The following is a 27,702-nucleotide window of genomic DNA, read 5'->3' as shown; positions in this document are numbered from 1 at the left end:
ATGAGAACATTATCTTTATTGCAAAGTGCTCCTCCAGAAGAACCTCTATGCTGGATAAAGACAAACATTTGATTAAGGTTATGTAAGAGTGAAATCAGGATGGCTCACAACCCATTAGCCGTCATTTTCTTACTTTAATTGACAAAGAAATTGAAAAAATGAAAGAAGCATATGTTGTGCTTGAATGTGAAGAGTGCTAGACTAGAATCAAAGGCCTCTTAGATTTGGCTGTGTCATTTGGGCTCATGAAAACACCTCTGGAAATCTCTTTCAGTGCAAAGGAGCTGGACTAGTTGATCTCTCAGGTTTCTTCCAACTCTAAAATATCTCCAGTCTGTGCCTTGGAAACATCTTAGGTGAAAATCTAGGAACAGTTAACCTAATTTGCACCCTTAAAATTCTGCCATGAGCTGCTTACAACTCAAAACAAGTTTATCTTACTCAGTTACTAATTATAAACCATCCAGATTTCAGAGCTGTGAGTACTGGGTGAAGCATTGAAGGTATGCTTTTGAAGCCATTACATATGGCAGTTACTGAGCTGAAAGGATTAAATGCTGCAGCTTCCCCAGTTGCCCTTCCTCCATGAGAGCAGTGCCTGCCCCCAGCATTCTGTGGCACTTGGAAGACAAGACAGAGGCCAAATGCAGATTTTTACCCTGGGCTTCCCTCTACAGTGTGGAACTCAGGTTGTTTCTTCTTTCCTCCCTGAAATGACATGAGTTTGCAGCGGATGGTGAACTGAAGAAACCATAGGAGGCTCTGTCTTCTTGCCTGAATTTCAGTTGGAAGCTTGGAGATTTGGGGTTCAACAGAGATAAGGAAGTGTAAGCCTTCATCCCGTCTGGTGGTTGGCGATCACACACCGCTCTGTGCTGAGGCTAATGGCCATGATCAGAGTTGACCAAAAAAAAAAAAAAAAAAAAATACGGGTTGTCCAAGCAAATTGATTTCCATACCTATAGAGAGCATACCTTTCTTCATCAGTATTTTCTTCCATTCTTCCAAAAAATTACTTTGGGCTCTAACAGCCATTCCCGTGATCTTTACCTCTCCTTGGGGAATGCAGATAATTTGAATAGTGGTTTTAAGCTATTTTTCTTGGAATACAGAAGTTCTGATAAGCCCTTCAAAGACCCCTGAGGGCAAGAAGAGGGAAGGTAGTAGGCAGGGCTCAGGCCCTCTTTAACACAGACACATGTACATAAGTAACACATTTGCACCAACACTGGAAGGAAATTCAATATATTTTAAAATGACTTTAACTCCTAGTGATGGAACTATAGATATTTTTTTACAGCCCTTCCCTGAATGTTCACATGTGTTTTTTATATATATGTGTGTGTCACGTATTTGTATATGTGTATATACACATATATATAGAAACACGTACATATTTGTATGCATATTTGTACATATAGGTATATATGTATGTAATGTGTACATATTGGCACATGTGTGTGTTTGTATATGTATATATCAGTACATATAGATGTATGTATATATGTATATATTTTTTCCTCCAAAATAAACAATAAAGAATGTCTTCTTAGATTGCAAAAGTGAATTGTCTGAGTTCTGCTAAGGAAAAAGGACTTCTGCTTCTGCTGCCTGTGAGGACTGTGCTGTCAGCAGTCATGGCCCTTCAGGCCCTGCACCTCGAGGCAGAGCCCTCCCCCGGCCATGGCCAGCTCTCCTAACCAAGTGTCTCTTTCCCCCAGAATGGCTGCAGTCTGTCCAGGCCACCATGATCCTGTCGATCATCTTCAGCATTCTGTCTCTGTTCCTGTTCTTCTGCCAACTCTTCACCCTCACCAAGGGGGGCAGGTTTTACATCACTGGAATCTTCCAAATTCTTGCTGGTAAGTTGTGGATGGTAAAGTCCATGTGGAAGCGGGGTGCATCCAAGTCTGCGGAATGATTAGTTTAGTAGAAGGATGTGGCCTCAGAATGACTGATGTTCATGAGTCTCCCCACTGGATGCTTTCCATAAAGTGAGGGTGGGTGCTTGTATGTGTGGGTGTGTACCTGTATGTGTCTTAGAACTTGGGACTTAGAACTCTCCCCTTCTCCCTGGAATGAGATGCATATGAAAGAGAACTTAGAGGATCTGGAAGGAAGGTCCCCACCCAAGCCAGGCGTATCAACAGGAATGAAACTGCAATCTGGACACATAATCAGAGGTGAATACTGAGGCTATCTGTAGAGCAAAGGTCAGGCTTGAGAGCTGTTTCTGTAGATTACATTATGCCTCCAGAAAATGGCCCTGATGTGCTAAGAACTAGCAAAGTAGTTATCAGGTATGTGTCTTCCACCAATAGGTAGTGATGAAGCCACACTGACAAATTCTCACCTTCCTTGCTTCCAGTTCCTAGATTCTACTGGGCTTTGATTGACTGTTGTCATCCTCTGGTGTCTTCATTTTGACACTCTTGTGTCACATATTGTCATTTCCAAACATGGGGCTATGACAACACATGAAAACACATGAGAGGTCTCCTTAATCTCCTGCCTAAACTGTCTTCAAGTTCCCTCTTTAAATACGTTATTAATATGCATAGTGTGCAGAGTCCTAGAAACTTCTGTTACACAGGGTGACATCTTCCAACTTTGTCTCTGGATTCTGCCTAGCATCTTACATGCTTACATCTTACATCTTACATCTTACATCTTGCATTCTGCCTAGCATCTTACATTAGCTCTTACATGTCTGTCTGTTGACTTACTGTTGACTGAACCAGCAGGGCATTGGAGAGAAGTAAGAGCTAGATGTAGTGGTGGATTCTGTGGTCCAAATTCATAGATCACAAACTTCATATGTACCAGAGTATGTCTAGGTACTGGGAGATGTTCTCAATTCTGACCCTCTGAGAGGGCAAAGGATGTAGCATCTCTTCTCTGAGTTGGTTGTCAGAATGCCCATGGTACCATTTCACCACTCTGTCCCCAGGAGCAGTCATTGGAAGGTTGACGTAAATAGGGTTGTATGGGAAGACACAGCCCAAGGTTAGATGTTGGTGACCTTGTCTAGAAGACAGAGAGTTCCCCTTTCCTGAAAAAAGGAAGTAAATGATTAACCACTTCTCATTAAACACTCAAATACAACATTTCAATACTCATGGTTTTGAGATTTCAAAACCAGACAGTGCTTTGCTACTTACACATGTCTTATGACACCAAGCCAAGCTCCTGGATGGTTGCTGGCTCTGTTAAATGACTAATTATGCAAGGAGATATCATTTCTAGGTACGTTAAAGTGAAGAGTTACCCTTACTCAATTTTCAGTTGGAATAAAAACAACTGTAACATATTCTGGGGTTTCTTTTTTTTTTTCTCACTCGTTTTAGTTTGATATCAAATCAAATAATGATCATATCCATTGCATCAGTGGATATGCCCTCAAGATAATATGGATTTAGAACCAGAACTTTCATAATGTATTTCTATTGAAATGTTAGTTTCATAAGCGATGATTGGGTTTTCATGCCCATGTGTGAGATGTGCCTCGCTCAAACCTTGTTATGATTTGGCACGTTACCCATCTGATGTGAAAAAAATTACATTTTATTTGTACAGGCTCGTTATTTTACTGATGAATAATTTGAGCCCACCAGAGGATAAATGAATGACCAAGGTCACCCAGCTCATGACAGGGACGGTTGAGTGTTACACTGAATATAGTGAGGTACTTCTTATATTTTAAAGACAGAATGCACCAAAAAATTTAAAGAACACAAAATCCAAGGCAGAAGCTCTGCCTTTTATATTATCTTTTATTGGAACTGATTTACAATGGAAGGTAAATGCAAATTTGCACCATGTATTATTCTGAAGTTCCAAACATCTGTGATGAATACAAGCCTGTACTATAAGACCCAGTCACATTGAAAATATGGAGCTGAGAAGAGGTAAGCTGCTGTTGAATGGGCTCCTTGGGATAGCCAGTACCTTCATCTTCATTCATCCTGCTGAGCTGTTTCGGCTTTAAGTTCTTTAACAATGTCTTTTTAGCAACATCATTACATCATTTTAGGCCAAAACTCAAAGTCCAGAGATAAGAACCCTTAAGTCACTCATGTAACTGCACTGTGTGTTAAAAGTATTTCAGTTCAGCCAAACACTCTTCTCCTAGGTATTGCGATTTAAGTATATTTACTAATCCACTCTTGCTTCACTATTTTCATTCTCCTCCAAAGTCAATACAAGATGTTTAGAACTGTGCTGGAAGTGCAGAATTCCGAATGTAAAAGCGCATGACTTTGTCCTCTTTATCCCCTTTACATCTAGCTGCTTACGTCTCATGAAACTGAATTTTCAGTTATCTGTTGGTCCACATTTGAATAAGAAATTATCTTGAATTTGAAATGCTGAGCTGTAATAGCAGTTGTAATTTGTAAGTCCTGAGAGTGTCCTGTCCTCCGTTGTTAATCCCAGTCAAGATCATCTGAGAGTTGGTCTCCAGGGAACCTCAGATCTCTAGGATGTTGCACTGGAAATGGCTGCAGGATCTTTCCACTAATTCTGAGAACTGAAAGAGTTAGGAACTCTATTTGGAGAGTTCCTGGTTCCCTTATCGTGTGACAGTTCTAAGTCAATTTTGTCATGTGGTTTTCTGACTCACAGACTAGTAAGAAGTTAGTAATTAGAGAGCTAAGTAGATTAGGGTTGTTGGAGATGAGAAACCCACGTTTTGGGAAAACCTGGCAAGTGACAACTTAACATCAAGGAAGTAGTCAGAAAAGCTAAAACTGACAAACAGAAGGTAGAAGAAAGTAGCTCCACACTCATGGGATGTGAAATCTACAAGCGTGCATGCCCGGCAAATGCCTCTCCAATGCACTGGAGCGTTTTAAGTGGAAACCACTAGAATCTCTGTGTAGTCTCCGGAAGTGGCTGTGAGGGCTGCATTATCTCTGCACAGCTTCCTCTTGGTGGGCCCAGCTGTGATCTTTATGGATGGCACACATCAGCTTTCAGGAAAAGCACATGAAAGGTGCTAGGGCTCTTGGAGCTGACTGTAGGTTTGGGAGTTGTCTGTCTCCTTGCTCTAGATTACAGCTCTGTGTGTTGTGTGGGGTCTCCATGGTTTGCCAAATTATCTCTTCCTCACTTAGCCACAAGGCTGACAGTTAGGAACTATCTCTTCTTGATTGCATTAGGTTGGCTGCTTCCTGAATGCATATCAAAAGGCTCCTTCCTTTAGTTCAGTGCTTTCAACCTGAGCTGTGCATCAGAATCACCTGAGGTCCTTTAAAAAAAAAAAAAAGACAGTGGGCGGGGCGCAGTGGCTCACGCCTGTAATCCCAGCACTTTGGGAGGCTGAGGTGGGCAGATCACTTGAGGTCAGGAGTTCAAGACCAGCCCGGCCAACATGGTGAAACCCTGTCTCTACTAAAAATAAAAATAAAAAAATAGCCAGGCGTGGTGGTGCGTGCCTGTAGTCCCAGCTACTTGGGAAACTGAGGCAGAGAAGAATCACTTGAACCTAGGAGGTGGAGGTTGCAGTGAGCCAAGATCATGCCACTGCACTCCAGCCTGGGGGTGACAGAGTAAGACTGTCTCAAAAAAAAAGAAAAAAGAAAAGAAAAAAGACAGTATTCAGGTCTCATCCCTGGAGACTCTCATTTAATAGTTGTGGGATGGATCCACTGCCTAGGTGACTCTGATGTGCATTTAGGGTTGGGAACCACTGACATAGCCATTAAACTGTCCCTAATCCCACTGTAAGGTTTTCTAGGATATTTTCCCAGAAATAACTAAACCACCTTCTTAGAGAAGGAACATCCTGATCCTGCGTCTGGACTTTGGAGTCATTCTTATTTTCAGAACCTATAGCCATCTATTCCTTGACAAGATCTGTTGGGTTGGGTTGCACTAGACTGGAAAACATCAAGAAATTAATCTAGACACAGACCTAAAAGGAAGATTTGCACGTTTTGATTTATTTTACTGCTTACACCCAGCATCAAGCTCCATGTGGGGCACATAGAGGAGCCTGAATAAAACTATTATTGGTTGGATGATTAGATAATTGTGTTTCCTCGGCAGAATCAAACTCAAGTCAAATGTGTGGTTACCGGGATTAAGAACAGAAAGAATAGAGGGGACTCCTGAGTGAGTTTCACTTTCTCTCTCTTTTTGTTATTGTTGTTCATTTGTTTTGTTAATAGAAAGATCAATATAGCTATAGAGCATTTAAAATAAAAGGATTTGGGCCAGGTGTGGTGGCGAATGCCTGTAATCCCAACACTTTGAAAGACTGAGGTGAGAGGATTGCTTAAAGCCAGGAGTTCAAGACCAGCCTGGGCAACAAAGCGAGATGCCATCTCTACAAAAAATGATTTAAAAATTAGTGGGGTGCCTTGGAGCACGCCTGTGGTCCCAGCTATTCAGGAGGCTGAGGCAGGAGGATTGCTTGAGGCTGAGAGGTCAAGACTACAGTGAACTATGATCAGGCCCCTGCACTTGCTCCAGCCTGGTGACAGAGTGAGACCCTGCCTCTCTAGGAAAAAAAAAAAAAGAATTTGGTGGGGGGGGATTAATAAAAGTTCAGTGCCATCCTGTTCAGAGTGATTCAAAGGTGGCTTAAGTCAAATACCACATTTAGAAATTTTTGTTAGGGACGGATGATTATGGATGTCTCACTGGCCATGCCCAAATCAGAGTCAATGCTATGGGTGGCTTTCTAGGCAGCAATGGTCATTTGGATACTGAAAATGTAAAAGGAGTGGGCTTCAATCACAGAAACACAGAGAAGTCTCTTGCTTTCAGAGGAACAGGCCTCACAGCCCCTTCCTGCCCTCCCTTGTTGCCCTGAGGATGAAGTGGGAGGGAGAAAAAGGCACCCACTCATCAACCCAACATCATAGCTGCACCTTCCAGTGACCACCCTGGTGGTCTCACTGACATCCCTTTCCAGCCAACTTCTCTCTGACTTCTGCCCCAGGCTCTCAAATGAAAGTGCTTTTGCGAGGTTACCAAAGTACACTTTGAAGTCTTTAATTTGTTGGATCACTCTGCTCCTTTCAATACTGTTAGCTACTTACTCTTTGAAGCTCTATTCCCCTGGCTTCTGAGACATCGCTGTGTTCCCACTTGCCTGAGTGAACACACCAGGCGGTCATGCTGGCCTCTCCTCTCTCCCTCACCCCACAGCCAGCCTTCTACTGAATCCTGCATTTGGGTAGCATCCTCCGTAGGCATTACGCCCATTTCTTTGTCTTGACTCACTAACCCCAGTGCAGCTATGCAAAGGCCTCCTCATGCACCTTCCAGCTACCTGCCTTGTCCCTGCCCCTGAATCCATTTTCTGCACCATGGCCAGAGTGATCATTCTAAAACGTGCGTCTGATCATGTTTCTCCTCTGCTGAAGTTTCCTCAGAGGCTTCTCATCACAGCTTCCTTAACATGTCATGTAAGGCCCTCTCTTTCCTGACCCTTAGTGAGCTAATCAGCCTATTATATGAGAGTCCGTGTGGCTTCTCCAGTTCTCCAGTTTGGACTCAGCGCCCGTCTATGCTCTTGGGGCATCTGGTGCATTTCCTTCCCTCTCTCGAAATTCCATCGAACTATATTGAAATTATATGCAAATGTCTGTCTTCTAGACACACAGTCCTTAAGGTAGGAGCCATGTCTCACTTATCTTGGTACATCTAGAGCAGCAGCTAGAACAGGGCCCGCATGCAATAGGCACTCATTAAATGTTCACTGAACCAAAGGGAATGGAGATGATAAGGATGTACTGGGAATTCCCTCAGCTACTTCCTTTGACCTTGGCCCCTTGGGTGCTTCCTTCCAGAGGCTCTGGGCTCTAATCACTCTCATGGGGTTGCAGTCACTGTTAAAGGAGCTTAAGACTTTCTCTTCAAAAGGGCTTTAGGCAGAACTTGCAGGAAGTTGTTGCAGACCTACCCATCCTGAGACAGGGAGAAACTCTTGTAAGTTGAATGCTCAGCACATTTGTATTGTCTGGACAGGGTCAGTGTCCTTCTGCTTAAAGATGACCTATGCTCCCAGACTCAGGCCCCTACCAGGGAGTCCCGGTCATTGCCAAAGAGCAGAACATCTGCCTGTGCCTCAGGGCCTCACTTACCCTTGCCACAGGGACCTGGTGATACATCTCCACCTACTGGTTGCTGAGAAAGTGAGTCACAGTCCACTTACTAGGGGTATTTGGCTTTTGGAGATGACTACTGGATGACATTAACTGTCTTGGGTTGCAGACAGAGGGAACCCAGCCAAAGAATCATCCTTTTCTCTATTTCAGGGTACATCTATTGCTTTACATGCAGACAATCTTGTAATAATATATTCCCTAAAACATCAGTCTCATGACAACAATCATATAAAGTGTGTATCCTCTCTTTGGCTTTGTAGATATCTAAGTTTACTGCTTATCACGGTTAAGCTTAGAGTCATTCACTTCTGAGATTCTACTAAGATGAAAGTCATACACATTAAGCTGTGTAGTTAGTCGCTGCACTTCTCTATACTGCCTCTTTCTATCCCTCTTGTTCAAGGATGGAATCTGGTATCTCCTCTTAGTCAGTGAAATCGGGGAGTAGCTGGTCCACTCAGCTCCTGAGGCATTTCTCATGCCAGATCTGGTTAGACAGCCCATTTGGGAGCCCTGCCTGCATGATGATAAGTGTTGTCCTGCCCTGCTAGCACTCTGTTAACACCTTTCTCTCTGCCAAGGTCATGTTTCCTTTTTTATAGCCCTGCCTTCATTAGATAAGTCAGACAGAGCCCAAGAGACAACTTCAGTATTTCTTAAAGACAAGAGTTAGCACTTTGGAGATGCAAGCCGTGGAAGAGTGGGGCAAGATAATTAAGGATCCTGGACCTCAAGGCAAATAAAGTGTGTCCCCAGCAGATCAAAACTGCTGTTTTCTGCAATCAACAATTAACCCGCAATGATTTCGCTCCTGACATGGCCATCTTTGCTGTCTTCTGAACTTCCTGTAGGTGGCAGGTCCTGGATGCTGTCCCATTTTGGTTCCAAGACTATTGTGTGGCTCTCTTGACAGGGGCCAGTCAAGTGGCAGTTTTCTCCTCTGAGTTGCAGGAGGACAGGCTTAACAGGGTGGTTCATGTGGCGTATTCCCACTTCTGCACTGTCTTCAAACAAAGTTGCAGTGTCCAGTAAAACAGCAGCCCAAATAGCAGTGAGGTTAGATGTAGGTGGCCGGGCGGTGGGGGGGCGCGGGTGCATTGGGAACTCTGGAACTGCATGAATCCCACACGGCATACTGGATTTATAATAGAGTCACTCAGAGCTTCTCAAAGACCCTGTTTTCAGGGAGGAAACAGACCAGGCTTTGTGCAGCTCCAGGCTGGGGTGCTGACATCACTGGACCCCTCCTTGTGGGGGGACGCTGTCTGTCACGTGAGCTGGGGCCATCAGTTTGAGCGTGGCTGCTCCACAGGGCCCAAGATGGAGGCTTTTCTTCTCTTTCCAACACCGAAGGGCTGCATTGGTGGGCCAGGGAGGGTGGCCTGACCCACCTGCATATCCAGTGCCCTTTAGCCTTCTTTGGGCTTCAAATGCAACCTTGGGGCACCCAGGGAAATGGAGCTTGCCTTTGATCATCTTCCCCCTCTGCAGCGTGGCTTCCCAGTCATACTGTCGGCTGCATCCTTATTCCTCACTTTCTTTTTCCCTCTCCACACATTTCTTTGTCTGTTTGGCAGTGCCCATAGGCATTGCTTGCTTCACCTGGTATGTGGCAACTCTGTTAGGGGGACCATAGGCCCCTGTGGTCTGCATGGAGCTTAATCCTTTTACCATGGCGTGACTCCAATAATGGTAAAATGTCACTTCACTTCCATTGGCTTTAGGTAATGCCACCACTCACTTGTAGAGTGGCATATAGATTTCCAGGGGTTTCCATACCCAACCACCCTTGGAAAGAGACAGGTAGGTTTTTCTTGCAGCCTGAATGCCTGCTGGCCATGTAGTGTGGCCTGGGAATTGGTGACAGTGAAAGAAAGAGAAATAGGGCAGAAAATGTAAAGAAAACCCTCAGGTATTAAGGCCTAGGTGGCCAAGATTGGAAATAGAGAGCAAGTTGTTTTCCTTGTTCCCATATTTTTGTGCTACCTCCTTTCAATTCTGGACCTGGAAGCAGATTTCCTTCCAGAGGTAGAAATGTTCTTCCTACCCAGCAATTGTCAGCATCCGGGGTGGCGGAGAGGGGGCCGCTCTGCCATGGACTCTCCGTCACCCAGCTTGTCCCTCTCCTTCCCCAGGTCTGTGCGTGATGAGTGCTGCGGCCATCTACACGGTGAGGCACCCGGAGTGGCATCTCAACTCGGATTACTCCTACGGTTTCGCCTACATCCTGGCCTGGGTGGCCTTCCCCCTGGCCCTTCTCAGCGGTGTCATCTATGTGATCTTGCGGAAACGCGAATGAGGCGCCCAGACGGTCTGTCTGAGGCTCTGAGCGTACATAGGGAAGGGAGGAAGGGAAAACAGAAAGCAGACAAAGAAAAAAGAGCTAGCCCAAAATCCCAAACTCAAACCAAACCAAACAGAAAGCAGTGGAGGTGGGGGTTGCTGTTGATTGAAGATGTATATAATATCTCCGGTTTATAAAACCTATTTATAACACTTTTTACATATATGTACATAGTATTGTTTGCTTTTTATGTTGACCATCAGCCTCGTGTTGAGCCTTAAAGAAGTAGCTAAGGAACTTTACATCCTAACAGTATAATCCAGCTCAGTATTTTTGTTTTGTTTTTTGTTTGTTTGTTTTGTTTTACCCAGAAATAAGATAACTCCATCTCGCCCCTTCCCTTTCATCTGAAAGAAGATACCTCCCTCCCAGTCCACCTCATTTAGAAAACCAAAGTGTGGGTAGAAACCCCAAATGTCCAAAAGCCCTTTTCTGGTGGGTGACCCAGTGCATCCAACAGAAACAGCCGCTGCCCGAACCTCTGTGTGAAGCTTTACGCGCACACGGACAAAATGCCCAAACTGGAGCCCTTGCAAAAACACGGCTTGTGGCATTGGCATACTTGCCCTTACAGGTGGAGTATCTTCGTCACACATCTAAATGAGAAATCAGTGACAACAAGTCTTTGAAATGGTGCTATGGATTTACCATTCCTTATTATCACTAATCATCTAAACAACTCACTGGAAATCCAATTAACAATTTTACAACATAAGATAGAATGGAGACCTGAATAATTCTGTGTAATATAAATGGTTTATAACTGCTTTTGTACCTAGCTAGGCTGCTATTATTACTATAATGAGTAAATCATAAAGCCTTCATCACTCCCACATTTTTCTTACGGTCGGAGCATCAGAACAAGCGTCTAGACTCCTTGGGACCGTGAGTTCCTAGAGCTTGGCTGGGTCTAGGCTGTTCTGTGCCTCCAAGGACTGTCTGGCAATGACTTGTATTGGCCACCAACTGTAGATGTATATATGGTGCCCTTCTGATGCTAAGACTCCAGACCTTTTGTTTTTGCTTTGCATTTTCTGATTTTATACCAACTGTGTGGACTAAGATGCATTAAAATAAACATCAGAGTAACTCACTGGTCTCTCTTGAGTTTTTGTGGGAACTTGGGTGTGGGTACAAGGTGCCTGTTGGAGCAGGATGAAGAGCTTCAGTGGAAAGCAAAGTTGAGCTGGAGATTTGGGTTACAAGATGGTGCTAAGGCACCAAAATCATAGCTGTTTTACAAGCTACAGGGAGCACATGATGCCTTCATGATGTCTGTGCAAAGGTTTGCTAATTGGAGACAGTTGGGAATTGCAGCTGAAATGGAGGCTGTAAATGGACTGGAAGGCACTTGAGTATTCATTTAGTTCAACCCTCTCTGGTGCTCTGTTGTTTGATGACCCACATGGAAAACATGGAGGCATGTCATGAGCTGCCCTGATATACTGGGAATGTTGGCAGAAGCATCTCAGATCCCTCACCCTGAGGTATGATATGGTGAAAGGTCTGAATGATGGTGACTTGAGGCCACACTTGCAGATAAAACATTGGTTGGCACCAACTAAGCTCCTAATGCCATCCTGAAGGAGAGAAAAGGCCACCATTGTCACCCAGCTCAGGGTTTCTGAGTTGTGTCTCATGCGTCCATATTTTTACCCGTCGACCTTTTGTTGTGTGTCTGCAAAATAACAAGCAAATGATGTGGTTGATAGTCCTTAATATTTATTGTGCAACTATTTTGAATTGGGTACCAAAGATAAAGAAGTAATGACATATATCTTAACATCGAAAGGTCACATTTTAGTGAGAGGTACAAGTAAACAAGTGACTATATTATAATAAGGTTAAGAGCATAGAAATGAGAGCCTGGGTTTGAGCCTGTCCTTTGCTGCTTACCAGCCATAGGGGCCTGAAAAGGTTACGTAAACACTAAGATTCAGTTTTCTCATCTATAAAATGGGGATGCCAATAACAAGGGTATAGGGCTGAGGGGATTTCAAGGAAGTTATATGGATAAAGTGTTCAGCATAGTGACTAGTACCTAGAAAGACTCTATAGATTAGAGTGGTTATCACATATGTTACAACAGAGGTATATTTGAAAGAGCATGTAGGAGAGACATTGACTGTTATGCAGGATTCTCAGTATCAGTCTGCACACTGGAATCTCCCATGCAGGAATTCCCATTAGAGATTTGGATTCCCTGTTTCCATGATGGGACCCACCCATCATGGTTTAAAGAACACTTCTGGTGATTACAGCATGCAACTGGGGATGACACCTCTGAGCTAGTGCAGGAGGTCTCATACTTCAACATGCTAGTGAATCACCTGGGAATCTGATAGCATGCAGATTCTGAAACTTTAGGCCCAGGTGGGGATTGAGATTCTGCATTTCCAATTAGTGCCTGGGTGAGGTGGATGCTGCTTGTCCACCGACCACACTTTGAGTAGCAAGGGCCTAGCATAAAGCCACCTTCAGGTACCTTGTGCTCTTCTGTCCTTGGGTGTCTGTGACGGAAGGACTTCTCTTTTCTGAGGTTTTCAGTAGTGACTGCTACTCTGCTTTTGACTCAGATAGTTTTAAGGTGGCACAGGTGGCCATGAGATGCATGTGAGATTAAGAAAACTAGGAATTTTATTTCACGAGCTGGTACTTTGAAAACATACACTTTTATTTCATAAACTTTTCTAACATTTCATTAAAAATTAATAGGGATAAGAATAAAGAAGAAAAGCAAAAACGGCCCCTAAATCTCCCTACCCAGGTAACACTCTTGGCATTTAAAAAAAAACCATATATCTAGGATTATAACATCCTATCTTGTATCTAGAGGGAAAAATACAATCTGAAAGCCTCTTTCCCACCTACCCATAGTCTTTTGCCAAAGGTAACCGTAAGACATAGTTTCTTATGACTTCTTCCAGGAAAGAAAATTGCCCACATATGTACATCCATCTATGTATTTTTTAAACGTACACAAAAGTGATCATACTACTCACTTCTGCACCTTTTCATTTAATGATAAAAATTTGAGATCATTCTATACCATTCTATACCAGCATATACCTCATGCTTTTTAGTGAACACTATTTTATTCTTTCAAAATTCTGCATAGTATTTTATTGTATTGTTGTACAAACCTTTATTTACCAGCCCTCCATTGATAGATATTTTGGTTGTGTCTACTTTTTATTATTAATCAAAATATTTCTGTGGACATCCTTGTACATGAATATTGGTGACTTTTAAAAAGTATATCCAAATCTTAAATTTCTGGTAAGGATGTTGCCAAAACAGAGGGTGTGTATATTTTGAAGAATCTAATAGGTATTTTCAGCTTAGTCTCCAGGAAAATTACACCAACTCAGTTGACAGTGGAGCCTTACATTCTACATGGAACTCATGGAGTCCCCCCAAACAGAGAAGGGTTAGAATAAAACACTTGAGTAAAAACAACTTATCTGCTATCAGTTCCTTGGGTCATGATTGTTATTGATCTCTCATCTATGGGGACAGCTTCGCTTCCTTGGGAACTTGTCTGCCTTGAGGATCTGTAATGATAGAAGGGACATTATACTGACCCTACACAAACAACAACAAAAAATTACAAAGAAATGCTATGAACAATTGTATACAACAAATTAGGCACCTTAGATGAAATGGACAAATTCCCCAGACACAATTACTGAAACTGACTCAATATGAAATAGATAATAAGAATAGGCCTATAATGAGTGAAGAGATTGATCTATTAATACTACTACTAATAAATTATTCACAAACAAAAAAGCCCAGGCCCAAATGGCTTCACTACTGAGTTCTACCAAATATTTAAAGAAGAATTAATACCAATTCTTAACAAACTCCTCTAAAAAATAGAAAAGTAAGGTAGGTAACACTGGCCTCTTCTTATGAAGCCGGTGTTCCCTTGATACCAAAACCAAAGATATCACAAGAAATAAAAACTACAGACCAATATTTCTTATGAATATGAATTCAAAAATTCTTCACCAAATAATAGCCATTAGAATCGAAAACACATTTGACAAAATCCAATATCCTTTCATGATAAAAACACTCAGCAGACTAGTGATGAAGGGGAACTCCCTCAACCTGATAAAAGACAACTATGAAAAATCCATACCTAGCATCATATTTACTAGTGAAATATTAGATGCTTCCTCTCTAAGATCAGGAACAAGACAAGGACGTCTGCTCTCAACACCTCTATTTAACATTATACAGGATGTTCCATCCAGTACAATTAGGCAAGAAAAAGAAATACAAGGCATCCAGATTTGAAAAGAACATAAAAACTATATCTATTCATAGATGATATCACCTTGTATATAGAAAATCCTAAGGAATCCACTAAAAGCCTATTAGAACTAGTAAAGAAATTCAGCAAGAATTAATATACAAAAATCAATTATATTTGGTGAGCTGATTCTAAAATTCAAATGCAATTAAAAATTTAAAAATTAAATTAAGAAAACAATTCTACTTATAATAGCATCAAAAAGGATAAAATAAATAGAAAAAAATTTAAAGAACTGCAAAACTTATACTGTGAAAATTATAAAATATTATTGAAAGACATTTAAAAAGGTCTAAATACGAGGAAAGCCATTCCAGGTTCATGGGTTGGAAAGCTTCACATTGTTAAGATGGTAATGCTCCCACCCTGTTTTCAGATTGAATGCAATCCCCAATAGAATCTCAGCAGACTTCTTTATAGAAATTGTTAAGCCAATTATAAAATTCAAATGGAATTGCAAGAGAACGAGAATAACCAAAACAATTTTGAAAAAGAAGAACAATGGAACAATGTAGCAGGATTCAACTGTCTTGATTTCAAAACTTACTATCCAACAATGGTAATCAAGACAGTGTGGTATTGGCACAAAAATATATGCATAAATCAGTGGAATAGGATTGAGAGTCTAGACATAAACCCACATATCTAAAGTCAGCTGATTTTTGACAAGGGTGTCAAGATCATTCAATGAGAAAAGAATAGGCTTTTCAACAAATGGTGCTGGGACAAGTGAAAATCCATAAGCAGAAGAATGATGTTGGACCCTTATCTAACACCATATACAAAAATTAACTCAAAATGGAACAAAGACCAAAATGTAAGAGCTAAAACTATAAAACTCTTAGAAGAAAACTTACGGGTAAACCTTCATGACCTTGTATTTGGCAAAGGATTTTTAGATATAGCACCAAAAGCATAGGCAACAAAAAAGTTGGTAAGTTGGATTTCAACAAAATTCAAAATTGTTGTGCTTCAAAGAACACCATCAATAAAGTGAAAAGACAATACATCACATAGAAGAAAATATTTGCAAAGCATGTGGCTGATAAGAGCCTTGTGTCCAGAATAAGTAATAAACCCTTACATCTCAATGAAAAGATAATTATTCCAATAAAAAGTGGGCAAAGGCCTTGAAAAGGCATTTGTCCAAGGAAGATATAAGAATGGCCAATAAGCACAGGAGTAGATACTCTGTCTCATTAGTCACCAGAGAAATGCAAATCAAAACCATGAGATATTGCTTTACACCCACGTTGGCCAGAATAAAAAAGACTGATAATAACACACATTGGATATGGAGAAATTGGAACCCTCCTACACTGCTGTTGGGAATGTGAATGGTGCTACTGCTTTGGAAAACATTCTGACAGTTCCTCAAAAGATTAAACATAGAGTTACCATGTGACCCAGCAATTCCTCTCCTAGGTTAGTACCAAAGAGAAATGAACGCATATGTCCACACAGAAATTCATACACAGATAATCAGCATTATTATATTAATGAAAGGTGATTTATCTAATATAGTATTACAGAAATTCATGGATATGCAGCATTATAACAGCATTTATTTACAATGCAACCCAAATGTCCATTAACTGTTGAATGGATAAACAAAATTTGGTATATCTATATACTAGAACATTATTTGATGCTAGGAATGACGCTAGAATATTATTTGTCTATAAAAAGGAATGAGTTACTGATACGTGCTACAACACGGACACACCTTGAAAACTTTAAGCTAAATGAGAGAAGCCAATTGCAAAAGACCACATATTATGTAACTTCATTTATACAAAATGCCCAGAACAGAGATATCCATAGAGAAAAAAAAGTAGATTAGTGGTTGTTTAGGCCTAGGGAGTTGGAAAGGGAATGTCGGGTTGTACTAGCTAAATGGTACGATATTTCCTTTTAAGAAGATGAATATGTTTTCAAATTGACCATGGTGATGATTGCACATCCTTTAAGAAATGTGAATATACAGCAGCTGGCAAGATGGCCAAATAGGAGGTTCTCTGGTCTGCAGCTCCCAGGGAGATCAATGCAGAAGGCAGGTGATTTCTGCATTTCCAACTGAGGTACCTGTCTCATCTCATTGGGACTAGTTAGACAGTGGGTGCAGCCCACGGAGGGCAAGCAGAAGCAGGGTGGGGCATCACCTCATCTAGGAAGAGCAAGGGGCTGGGGACCTCCCTTCCCTAGCCATGGGAAGCCGTGAGGGACTGTGCCATGAGGAACAGTTCATGCTGGCCCAGATACTACGCTTTTCCCATGGTCTTCGCAACTCACAGACCAGGAGTCTTCCTCCAGTGCCTATGCCACCAGGGTCGTGGGTTTCGAGCACAAAACTGGGTGGCTATTTGGGCAGACACTGAGCTAGCTGCAGGAGTTTCTTCTCATACCCCAGTGGTGCCTGGAACGCCAGCGAGACAGAACCCTTCACTCCCCCAGAAAAGGGGCTGAAGCCAGGAAGCCAAGTGGTCTAGCTCAGTGGATCCCACCCCCAAGCAGCCCAGCAAGCTAAGATCCACTGGCTTGAAATTCTCACTGCCAGCACAGCAGTCTGAAGTTGACCTGGGATGCTTGAGCTTGGTTAGGGGAGGGGCATCAGCCATTACTGAGGCTTGAGTAGGCAGTCTTCCTCTTACAGTCTAAAGAAAGCTGCTGGGAAGTTCGAACTGGGCAGAGCCCACTGCAGCTCAGCAAAGCCGCTATAGTCAGACTGTCTCTCTAGATTCCTCCTCTCTGGGCTGGGCATCTCTGAAAGAAAGGCAGCAGCCCCAGTCAGGGCTCCTGTCTCCCTGGAACAGAGCACCTGGGGGAAAGGGTGGCTGTGGACACAGCTTCAGCAGATTCAGATTTAAACATTCCTGCCTGCCACCTCTGAAGAGAGCAGTAGATCTTTCAGCACAGCACTCGAGCTCTGCTAATGGACAGACTGCCTCCTCAAGTGGGTTCCTGATTCCCGTGCCTCCTGTCTGGGAGACACCTCCCAGCAGGGGTCAACGGACACCTCATACAGGAGAGCTCTGGCTGGCATCTGGTGGGTGCCCCTCTGGGACGAAGCTTCCAGAGGAAGGAATAGGCATCAATCTTTGCTGTTACGCAGCCTCCGCTGGTGAGACCCAGGCAAACAGGGTCTGGAGTGGACCTCCAGTGAACTCCAGCAGACCTGCAGCAGAGAAGCCTGATGGATAGGAGGAATCAATATTGTGAAAATGGCCATACTGCCCAAAGTAATTTGTAGATTCAGTGCTATCCCCATCAAGCTACCATTGACTTGCTTCACAGAATTAGAAAAAACTATTTTAAATTTCATATGGAACCAAAAAAGAGCCCACATAGCCAAGACAATCCTAAGCAAAAAGAACAAAGCTGGAGGCATCACGCTACCTAACTTCAAACTATACTACAAGGCTACAATAACAAACAGCATGGTAGTGGTACCAAAACAGATATATAGACCAATGGAACAGAACAGAGGCCTCAGAAATAATGCCATTCATCTACAACCATCAGATCTTTGACAAACCTGACAAAAACAAGCAATGGGGAAAGGATTCCCTATTTAATAAATGGTGTTGGGAAAATTGGCTAGCCATATGCAAAACACTGAAACTGAACCCCTTCCTTACACCTTATATAAAAATTAACTCAAGATGGATTAAAGACTTAAACATAAGACCTAAAACCATAAAAACCCTAGAGGAAAACCTAGACAATACCATTCAGGACATAGGCATGGGCAAAGGCTTCGTGACTAAAACACCAAAAGCAATGTCAACAAAAGCCAAAATTGACAAACGGGGTCTAATTAAAATAAAGAGCTTCTGCACAGTGAAAGAAACTATCATCAGAGTGAACAGGCAACCTAGAGAATGGGAGAAAATTTTTGCAGTCTATCCATCTGACAAAGGGCTAATATCCAGAATCTACAAAGAACTTAAACAAATTTACAAGAAGAAAACAAACAACCCCATCAAAAAGTGGGCAAAGGATATGAACAGACACTTCTCAAAAGAAGACATTCATGCAGCCAACAAACATGAAAAAAAGCTCATCATCACTGGTCATTAGAGAAATCCAAATCAAAACCACAATGAGATACCATCTCACGCCAGTTAGAATGGTGATCATTAAAAAGTCAGGAAACAACAGATGCTGGAGAGGATGTGGAGAAATAGGAACGCTTTTACACTGTTGGTGGGAGTGTAAATTAGTTCAACCATTGTGGAAGACAGTGTGGCGATTCCTCAAGGGTCTAGAACCAGAAATACCATTTGGCCCAGCAATCCCATTACTGGGTATATACCCAAAGGATTATAAATCATTCTACTATAAAGATATGTTTATTGTGGCACTGTTCACAATAGCAAAGACTTGGAACCAACCCAAATGCCTATCAATGATAGACTGCATAAAGAAAATGTGGCACATATATACCATGGAATACTATGCAGCCATAAAAAAGGACAAGTTCATGTCCTTTGCAGGGACGTGGATGAAGCTGGAAAGCATCATTCTCAGCAAACTAACACAAGAACATGTGGTGTTTAGTTCTCATGTTCTCACCACATGTTCTCACTAATAAGTGGGACTTGAACAATGAGAACACATGGACACAGGGAGGGGAACATCACATACCAGGGCCCTTTGCGGGGTAGGAGGCTAGGGGAGGGATCACATTCGGAGAAACACCTAATGTAGATGACAGGTTGATGGGTGCAGCACACCACCATGGCACGTATATACCTATGTAACAAACCTGCACGTTCTGCATATGTATCCCAGAACTTAAAGTATAATTTAAAAACAGAAATGTGAATATACTAAAAGCCAATGAATTGTACACTGTAACTGGGTCTATTTTATGGTATGAGAACTGTATCTCAATAAAGATGTTAAAAAAGAAAAGAAACAGCTGTTTGCTCCAGCTGTTGCTAATTCTCTAATTAAGTCTGTTCTTTCAGTTTAAAAAGTAATACACCTTGGCCGGGCACGGTGGCTCACACTTGTAATCCCAGCACTTTGGGAGGCCGAGGTGGGCGGATCACGAGGTCAGGAGATCGAGACCATCCTGGCTGACATGGTGAAACCCTGTCTCTACTAAAAATACAGAAAAATTAGCCGGGCGTGGTGGCGGGCGCCTGTAGTCCCAGCTACTTGGGAGACTGAGGCAAGAGAATGGCGTGAAACCAGGAGGCGGAGCTTGCAGTGAGCCGAGATCGCACCACTGCACTCCAGCCTGGGCGACAGAGTGAGACTCCGTCTCAAAAAAAAAAAAAAAAAAAAAAAAAAAGTAATACACCTTTTATTCTTGTGGTTTTGGTTATTTTTTATTTTTATTTTTGAAGGGATGAGATTCTTATTCCTTCTGAGCAAGATGAAGCAAAACAGGATATTGGAGATGAACAGTTAACATATTTCTTCACTAACACAATCTTGGGTTTTCCCAGGGGATTGTTTTGATGACATTTATTTTCCATCCTTGGGCACTTCTGAGAAATATTTCAGTCTTAGGAATTTACAGCAATGGAGTTTTGATTAGAAACTGCCCCCTTAGCAGCTGCTTTCTGCTCTGCTTTCAGACTTCAGGGAGTGTGTTGTTCACCGAATGGCAAATGCATGGAGGGAAATAGCTGTCCAGGGTGGCTGGCTTGCTCCTTTGCCTTTCTTCTCTTTCCAGAATCATGTACCCTTCATGCACTTCATGCCTTAGCAGACCACAAGTCCAATTTTGTCTCCCTAACGCTTTTGGGTGCTGAAAACTCTGCTTAGTTTTTCTGCCCTTAGCATTTTCTTTCAGGACTTTTCAACCTCTTGGTCTGTTTATTAATTGGCAAATTCCTTAAGGGGAAGTTCAGGAAAGAGTGTTGGGCTAACTTCAGTGGGTTTCCTTTTCTCTAACCTGCTAGTCCCTCAGGTCCTGATGGCTTTGGTATCTCTCAATGCTTTTAAGTAGATTTTGTTTTGTTTTTGGTATTTCACCCAGATTTTCCAGTAGTTCTCAGCAAGAATTTATCTGCTGTAAGCTATTATACAAGAAGGCCCTTCCATTTTAAAAACAAACATTCAGTTTTTATTTTGAAAGAGTTAGGTTAAACTTATAAATTAATTGGGGGAAAATTAATATCTTCCCAAGCAGGTATATAGTATGAATAACTCTATTTAGTTCTTTGTTTATACTTTACTAAAGTTTTTGTTTTCATTATAAAGATGAATATATATTAGTGAGTTTCATTAATAAATATGTTAATATATATTAACCTTGTTTCTAGGCATTCACATACCTTATGGCTTTCGTGAATTGATTTTATTCCGCTATATCTTATTGTCAGTTCTTGTGGGCATGTTGGAAACCAGTTGAGTTTTTTTAAATTTTTTTTGAGATGGAGTCTCACTCTGTCACCCAGGCTGGAGTGCAGGGGCCTGATCTCCACTCGCTGCAACCTCTGCCTCCTGGATTCAAGCAATTCTCCTGCCTCAGCCTCCTGAGTTAGCTGGGATTGCAGGTGCCCACCACCACGCCCAGCTAATTTTTGTATTTTTAGTAGAGATGGGGTTTCACCATGTTGGCCAGGTTGATCTCAAACTCTTGACGTCAGGTGATCCACCACCCTCAGCCTCCCAAAGTGCTGGGATTACAGGCATGAGTCACCGTGCCTGGTCACCAGTTGAATTTTCTAAACCAGTTGTATACTTGGTTCCCTTACTGAACTGTGTTTTTGAGTTTCCCTAATATTTTTCCAATTAATTATTTTAGCTTTTCACGTTAGTAAATAATCACAGCATGAGCAAAAGCAGAAAAAAAAGAGATAATATGCCTCTTCTGCCTTTCCTAAAAGTTCTTAATTTTCTTTATTGCCTTCCAAAGCATGCCAAATAATAGATGTGATAATGAACATCGTTTTCTTTCTCTTTTTCTGAATTTAATGGCAATGCTAGTGCTAATATTTCTTGATTCTCAACAGGGATTTTAACCGATAATTTATATTAAATGTTACCATCTTTTCAGATTTTATCAGGAAGACTGTTTTATTTTTCTGCCTTTAAGCAATTACTGTGGTAAATCCTATTAATAGTTTTTTAAACATTGAATGGTTTGTTAATGAAATAAAGTCCCCTTCTTATTGGTGCATCGTTCTTTTAATACGTTGACTTTTTTTGCTAGCATTTTATTATGGCTTTTTTGGTGTTCATAAATGAGATCGATTTTTTTTTTTTTTTTTTTTTTTTTGAGACTGAGTCTCGCTCTGTCGCCCATGCTGGAGTGCAGTGGCGCTATCTCGGCTCACTGCAAGCTCCTCCTCCTGGGTTCACGCCATTCTCCTGCCTCAGCCTCCCAAGTGGCTGAGACTACAGGCGCCCGCCACCACGCCCGGCTAATTTTTTTTTGTATTTTTAGTAGAGACAGGGTTTCATCGTGTTAGCCAGGATGGTCTCCATCTCCTGACGTGGTGATCCGCCCACCTTAGCCTCCCATAGTCCTGGGATTACAGGAGTGAGCCACTGCGCCCGGCCAATGAGATTGATTTTTAAATTTTTATGTGTTCTATCTTTAATGAGTTTTAATTTTAGGGTTATGTTAAGGGTGTCACATGACACAAGTGCACATTTGTATGTGTGATTAAGGGGCTTAGGTAACATTGGTCTTATTGGTTTTCTTGATGATTTCATAGAACTTAGCAGTGGAAACTTCTTGGCTCTCGGATAACTATCCTATCAACTAAAGGATGTCAATTTGATACCTTTCTCAAACTTTTGTCCCACGATTTGTGTCCTATTTAAGCATTTGAACTCCTAATTTATTTTGATAATTTAGATATTTTTTAGGAAATGGTACATTTTATTCAGATTTTCTATTTTGTTTTCATAAAGTTATATATGCTTTTCTGACAGTTCTTCTAAATCTCCTGTACCAATGTTCTTGTTTGTAATTTTGCACGTTTGTGTTTTCTCTTTTTCTTGATTAGTCTTGGTAGTGGTTTTCTCTCTTAATTTATTAAAAAGTATTATATTTATCAATTTCATGTATGTCTTTGTAATTCATTAGCACTTTTATTTTTCTTGCTTTTCCCTTCCTGCTTTGAATATTCAGTTTATTATTCTTTGCCAAATCTTCCTTTGAATTCTAATAATTCCTTGCTTCATTAGTATTGATACTATGATAGTTATGCATAAAGAATTTTTATGGTTATAGCCCTGTCTGAATTATCCTGGTCTGAATTGAGAATGTAACATGGCCCTATTTGTCCTAATCAATGTTTATTGCACTGGATTTTACTTTGTGTGAACATTACATTGCCATTCCATTTCTTTTTGTTTACATTTCTGCAATATCCCTTTGTGCATGCCTTGACTTCTTTTTTTTTTTTTTTTGAGATGGAGTCTTGCTTTGTCGCCCCACTGGAGTGCAGTGGCAATATCTCGGCTCACTGCAACCTCCCTCTCCCGGGTTCAAGCAATTCTCCTGCCTCAGCCTCCCGAGTAACTGGGACTAGAAGTGTGCACCACCACGCCCAGCTAATTTTTTGTATTTTAGTAGAGATGGGGTTTCACCATGTTGGCCAGGATGGTCTCTGTCTCCTGACCTCTTAATCCGCCTGCCTCGGCCTCCCAAAGCGCTGCGATTACAGGCGTGAGCCACTGCACCCCGTTGCATGCCTTTACTTTTAACATCCCCTCTTTGGGCATGAATTATGTATCCTTTACTGTGATCTCTTTTTCAGTGTTTTGGAGGACATATATCTTGGTTTTTTTATGTTATTGCATTTTTAAATGCTGTTGAACCCATATTTATTTAATTTTTAGACTTCTATGAAATAGAAAAGTGTCATAAACTTTTCCTGTCTTCTCACCTCTTTTCCCTTTATTCACCATTTCTCAGGTTTTATTAAGACGAATTGGGTTTTTGGCTGAGCGTGGTGGCTCAAGCCTGTAATCCCGGTGGTTTGGGAAACTGAGGCATGAGGATCACTTGAAGTTAGGAGTTCAAGACCAGCCTGGGCCACATTGCAAGCTGCCATTTCTACAAAAAAAAAAAAAAAAAAAAAAAGTTAGCCAGGCATGGTGGTGTATGCCTGTAAACCCAGCAATTTGGGAGGATGAAATGGAAGGATCCCTTGAACCTAGGAGTTTCAGGTTGTAGTGAGCTAGGGTCATGCTACTGCACTCCAGCCTGGGTGACAGAACAAGATCCTGTCTCAAAAAAGAAAAAAAGAAAAAGGAAAAAAAGGTGAACTAGATTCTTAAAATTCATATTATTGCATTTGGGAAGAAAAGGTAATATATTTTCCTCATTCATCACAAGGTTTATGGCTGACACTCCTATAACAAAGACAGACTAACAAGAGAAAAGCATAACAAATTTATTTTACCAAAGTTTTACATGACACAGGAGCCTTCAGAAATGAAGACCCAAAGACCCAGGAAAAACTGTGTTTTTATGCTTAGGTTTTGTGAAGAATGGATAGATAGTGTATGATTGGACAAAAAGCGGATGTGACCTAGTAGTAATAAGCTTGGGGGAACTTAGCAAGCCTGTTTGTTCAGATGCTTCTTGGCCTCTCTGTGTAACATTCCTTCCCTGCAGACATAGGGCAGGACATTTGTCACTTAAGGGTCTTCAGGAGAGAAGGTCAGAGAGACTTTGCCGCTTCTGTGGTTTTCTCAATTTTCTTCAGCTTAAAATATTCAGTATGACAAGATGCCATATTTAGGGATAGCATTTCCTGTATCCTATCACATACGCATAACTTGGAAATAGGTTGTATCATTAACAATCACTTTTGTAGTTTTGTATCTGTCTCAGCAAATATTTTACTATCACTGGCTTCTGGAGCTGGTCCAGTATTTTATGCCATGTCATCTTCATTCTTTAATCCTTAATTGGGCTTCATTTTTTAGTTTGTTGGAGGACATCTTCAGCTAATTAGTCAAGAAAATATGGATGTAATATTTTTGAAATTGTGAATAACTGAAAATGTCCTTCTGTTAACTGAATACCTGAATCGGTTGGAAATAAAATGCTTAGTTCACACATTTTCTCCACAAAATGTTAGAAGATATTACTTCTTGGTGTTCAGTGTGGCAGCTCAGGAGCTTAAGGCAACTGTATTTTGTTCTTTTCGGTTACCTTATTTTTTCCCCGTGTTGCCTATGGAACTTGATATATATCTTTAATAAATATTTGTGTCATGAATAAATGAATGAGAAAATGTTTCTGGCTGGGTGTGGTGGCTCACGCCTGTAATCCCAACACTTTGGGAGGCCAAGGTGGGAGGATAGTTTGAGGCCAGGCATTTGAGATCAGCCTCGGCAACACAGCAAGACTCAGTCTCTATTCTTGAGAGTAAAAAATGTTTTTTAACACATATATCAATGTGTTACAATACTGAATATAAAAACTTGTTGCCAATCAGTAAGAAATAATGCAAATACTGGTAGAAAAATGGATGAACGTAACCAGTCAATTTGCAAATGAAGAATTAGAAAAGGTGCCAAACATGAATCAAAAATTACAAATTAAAATAAGATTCTTTGTCTACTAAATGGGAAAAGAAACATTAGTATATGATCATAAGTTGATACATCCTCTCTGGGGAAATATTTGTGAATATGTATCAAAATTAGTGGCTCATGCCTGTAATCCCAGCACTTTGGGAGGCTGAGTCGGGCAGGTCACTTGAGGTCAGGAGTTTAAGACCAGCCTGGCCAACATGGTGAAACCCCATCTCTACTAAAAATACAAAAATTAGCCGGGTGTGGTGGGCGCCTGTAATCCCAGTTACTCGGGAGGCTGAGGCAGGAGAATCTCTGGAACCCAGGAGGCAGAGGTTGCAGTGAGCCAAGATTGTGCCACTGCACACCAACCTGGGCCACAGAGTGAGACTCCGTCTTAAAAAAAAAAAAAAATTAGCACATATGAAAATATCCTTTGACCTAACAATTTTTCCTGTTGGATTTTACTCTAAGGGAATAGTCAAGGCCATGTGCAAAGATTTAGCGTCTTCAAAGACGTTCATTTCAGATTTGTTTATAACAGGAAAACTTGGAAACAATAATAAAATAGTATTTAAGTAAATGATGATGCATCCTTAAAATGAAATGCCAGCAGCTATTAGAAATGTTGTTGTATCAGAATATTTATCAAAATGGAAATATAATCACAATACATTGCATTACATATCACATTATAAAATGATAAAAGCTAGCTATAAAACAGTATTTTGATAAAATTCTCATTTCAACTTAACTCAGAACATTGTTGTTGATTATCTACAATACCACAGTAGGTTTAGTGGATCCAACTTTGAACAGACTATATTCTCTGTGAGGAAGATCACTTCTATAAATTGAATTATATCAGAATCAAGGTGTTAATAGAGTCATGGATCTCCAGTTCAGTGTAAAAATGAATACTCTTCTTAACTCACACTCAAAAGTTTATTTGTAGACATATCATATGCTCTTCTCTCTTATAATCTTTTAGATTGTTACAAATCTCCCACGGAGTCCACAGAAGGCACTCAGCAAATGATGTTGAATTGAATCTTGATTTATCACTTTGATGTTCAAAGTGAGAAATGCAGTCTCAGCTGGTTAGACAGCATGAGTGTTGTCAGGGTGTGTGTGTGTGTGTGTGTGTGTGTGTGTGTGTGTGTGTGTGTGTTGAAGAGAGAGGAAATGTGCTATGAACTCAATCTCTATTAGTACAGAGAAAATGTCAGTTTGTCTTGTTGGCCACTCTATAGGAAGAGTCATTTCTATACATTTGGCAGTGTTCACATTGTTGCACTCTTTTGCGAGGGGCTGTTGTGAATTGCAAGAGAATTCATGATTGATTTATTGATTTGACATAGTTGATAATGCCTTTTAGACCGTATCACTCACAGTCTAGTCTGCGCATTCCAAAATTTAAATCTACATGTTTAGAATTTCAAATGATACTGTTTGGAATTTATACTGGTTCTCTCTCTCTCTCTCTCTCTCTCTCTCTCTCTCTCTCTCTCTCTCTCTCTCCTTCTCTCTTTAAAAAAATTTCAGATGGAGCCAAGGTAACATAAGATTTTTAAATGCCTAAGCTGTATTACTGCATCACAGATATAGGATATACAATCTTCAACATGTTGATTCCTCTTGTTTGGGCCAGTAGGTTTAAGAGTTGGGGAGTTACGACGATCATCTTGAGATGCTTACATGGTTAGGACCTAAGTCTCTGAGAAATACAAGGTGAGTCTATATCTCAGATAGACTGCAGCTGAAAAACTTTTCCTAATTGTCTATCAGGATGTTGAGTACAAAATCATCCCTTTTACCCTCTTACTCTTTTGGGTTCCATTAGATATTTTCCAGGATAATTCTATTGCTCTGCCAAATTAAGAATAACAACAGCAACAACACAAAAATCATTTTCTGGTGCATTTTCCTAAAATTTATAACACCATTCTGTATTCATTCTATTCATCCTAAAGCAGGTGAATCTTGTTTTATTTATTTGAACTCTAGAAGTATAGGAAACACTTTCATTACCTATGTAGATAGATGATATCAGCCTTAAATATTTAAATTACTGGCGCTTTTCTTGTTCCACTGCCATATAGGTAATTCAAGAAGGCATCATTAACAATTTATGGGTTTCAAAATAGATTTCCAGCAGGGGGAGCCCCTGCTTGGGTAATAGAACTATTGGCTCTCTTGTTCCTCTTACCTAACTTCAAACCCACAAACTAAAAATTTTGAATAGAATTCATTTTCATAATTTTTTTCACTCCTAGCTGTACTTGTGCACTAAGCAAAATATACTTTTTAAATGGTCAATGAAATGAACCAAATGACTATTTCTATGTGTAGACCCCAGGGCAGGAGGCTCCCAGGGGTGAGCCACTGGCTTTGGTGGCTGGCTAGCTGACTACGAA

At 41.0% G+C, this 27,702-nt stretch overlaps 1 protein-coding gene and 1 pseudogene across 10 annotated transcripts in view; both read left to right on the top strand.

Annotated features, from left to right (window-relative positions):
- Nucleotides 1-11,554, top strand: part of PMP22 (peripheral myelin protein 22) — a 35,548-nt gene extending 23,994 nt beyond the window's left edge. For 7 of the 10 annotated variants that reach the window (NR_104018.2, NR_104017.2, NM_001281456.2 and 4 more), the window contains 2 exons: nt 1,722-1,862; nt 10,253-11,554. Coding sequence is in view for 8 of the 10 variants with exons in the window: in NM_001281456.2 (NP_001268385.1) it covers nt 1,722-1,862; nt 10,253-10,416 (305 nt within the window). In the remaining 2 variants the exon portion in view is untranslated. Of the gene's footprint in view, nt 1-1,721; nt 1,863-6,048; nt 6,115-8,719 lie in introns of those variants that run through there. The other 3 variants (NM_001330143.2, XM_024450806.2, XM_047436306.1) reach the window with 2 other exon arrangements.
- LOC124904126 (uncharacterized) lies at nt 3,452-3,548 on the top strand (annotated as a pseudogene).

This window comes from Homo sapiens, chromosome 17 (genome assembly GCF_000001405.40).
Source record: "Homo sapiens chromosome 17, GRCh38.p14 Primary Assembly".
In the NCBI taxonomy this organism is placed as follows: Eukaryota; Metazoa; Chordata; class Mammalia; order Primates; family Hominidae; genus Homo; species Homo sapiens.
Note: the sequence above shows the minus strand (reverse complement) of the source record. Positions and strands in the feature narration are given on the sequence as shown.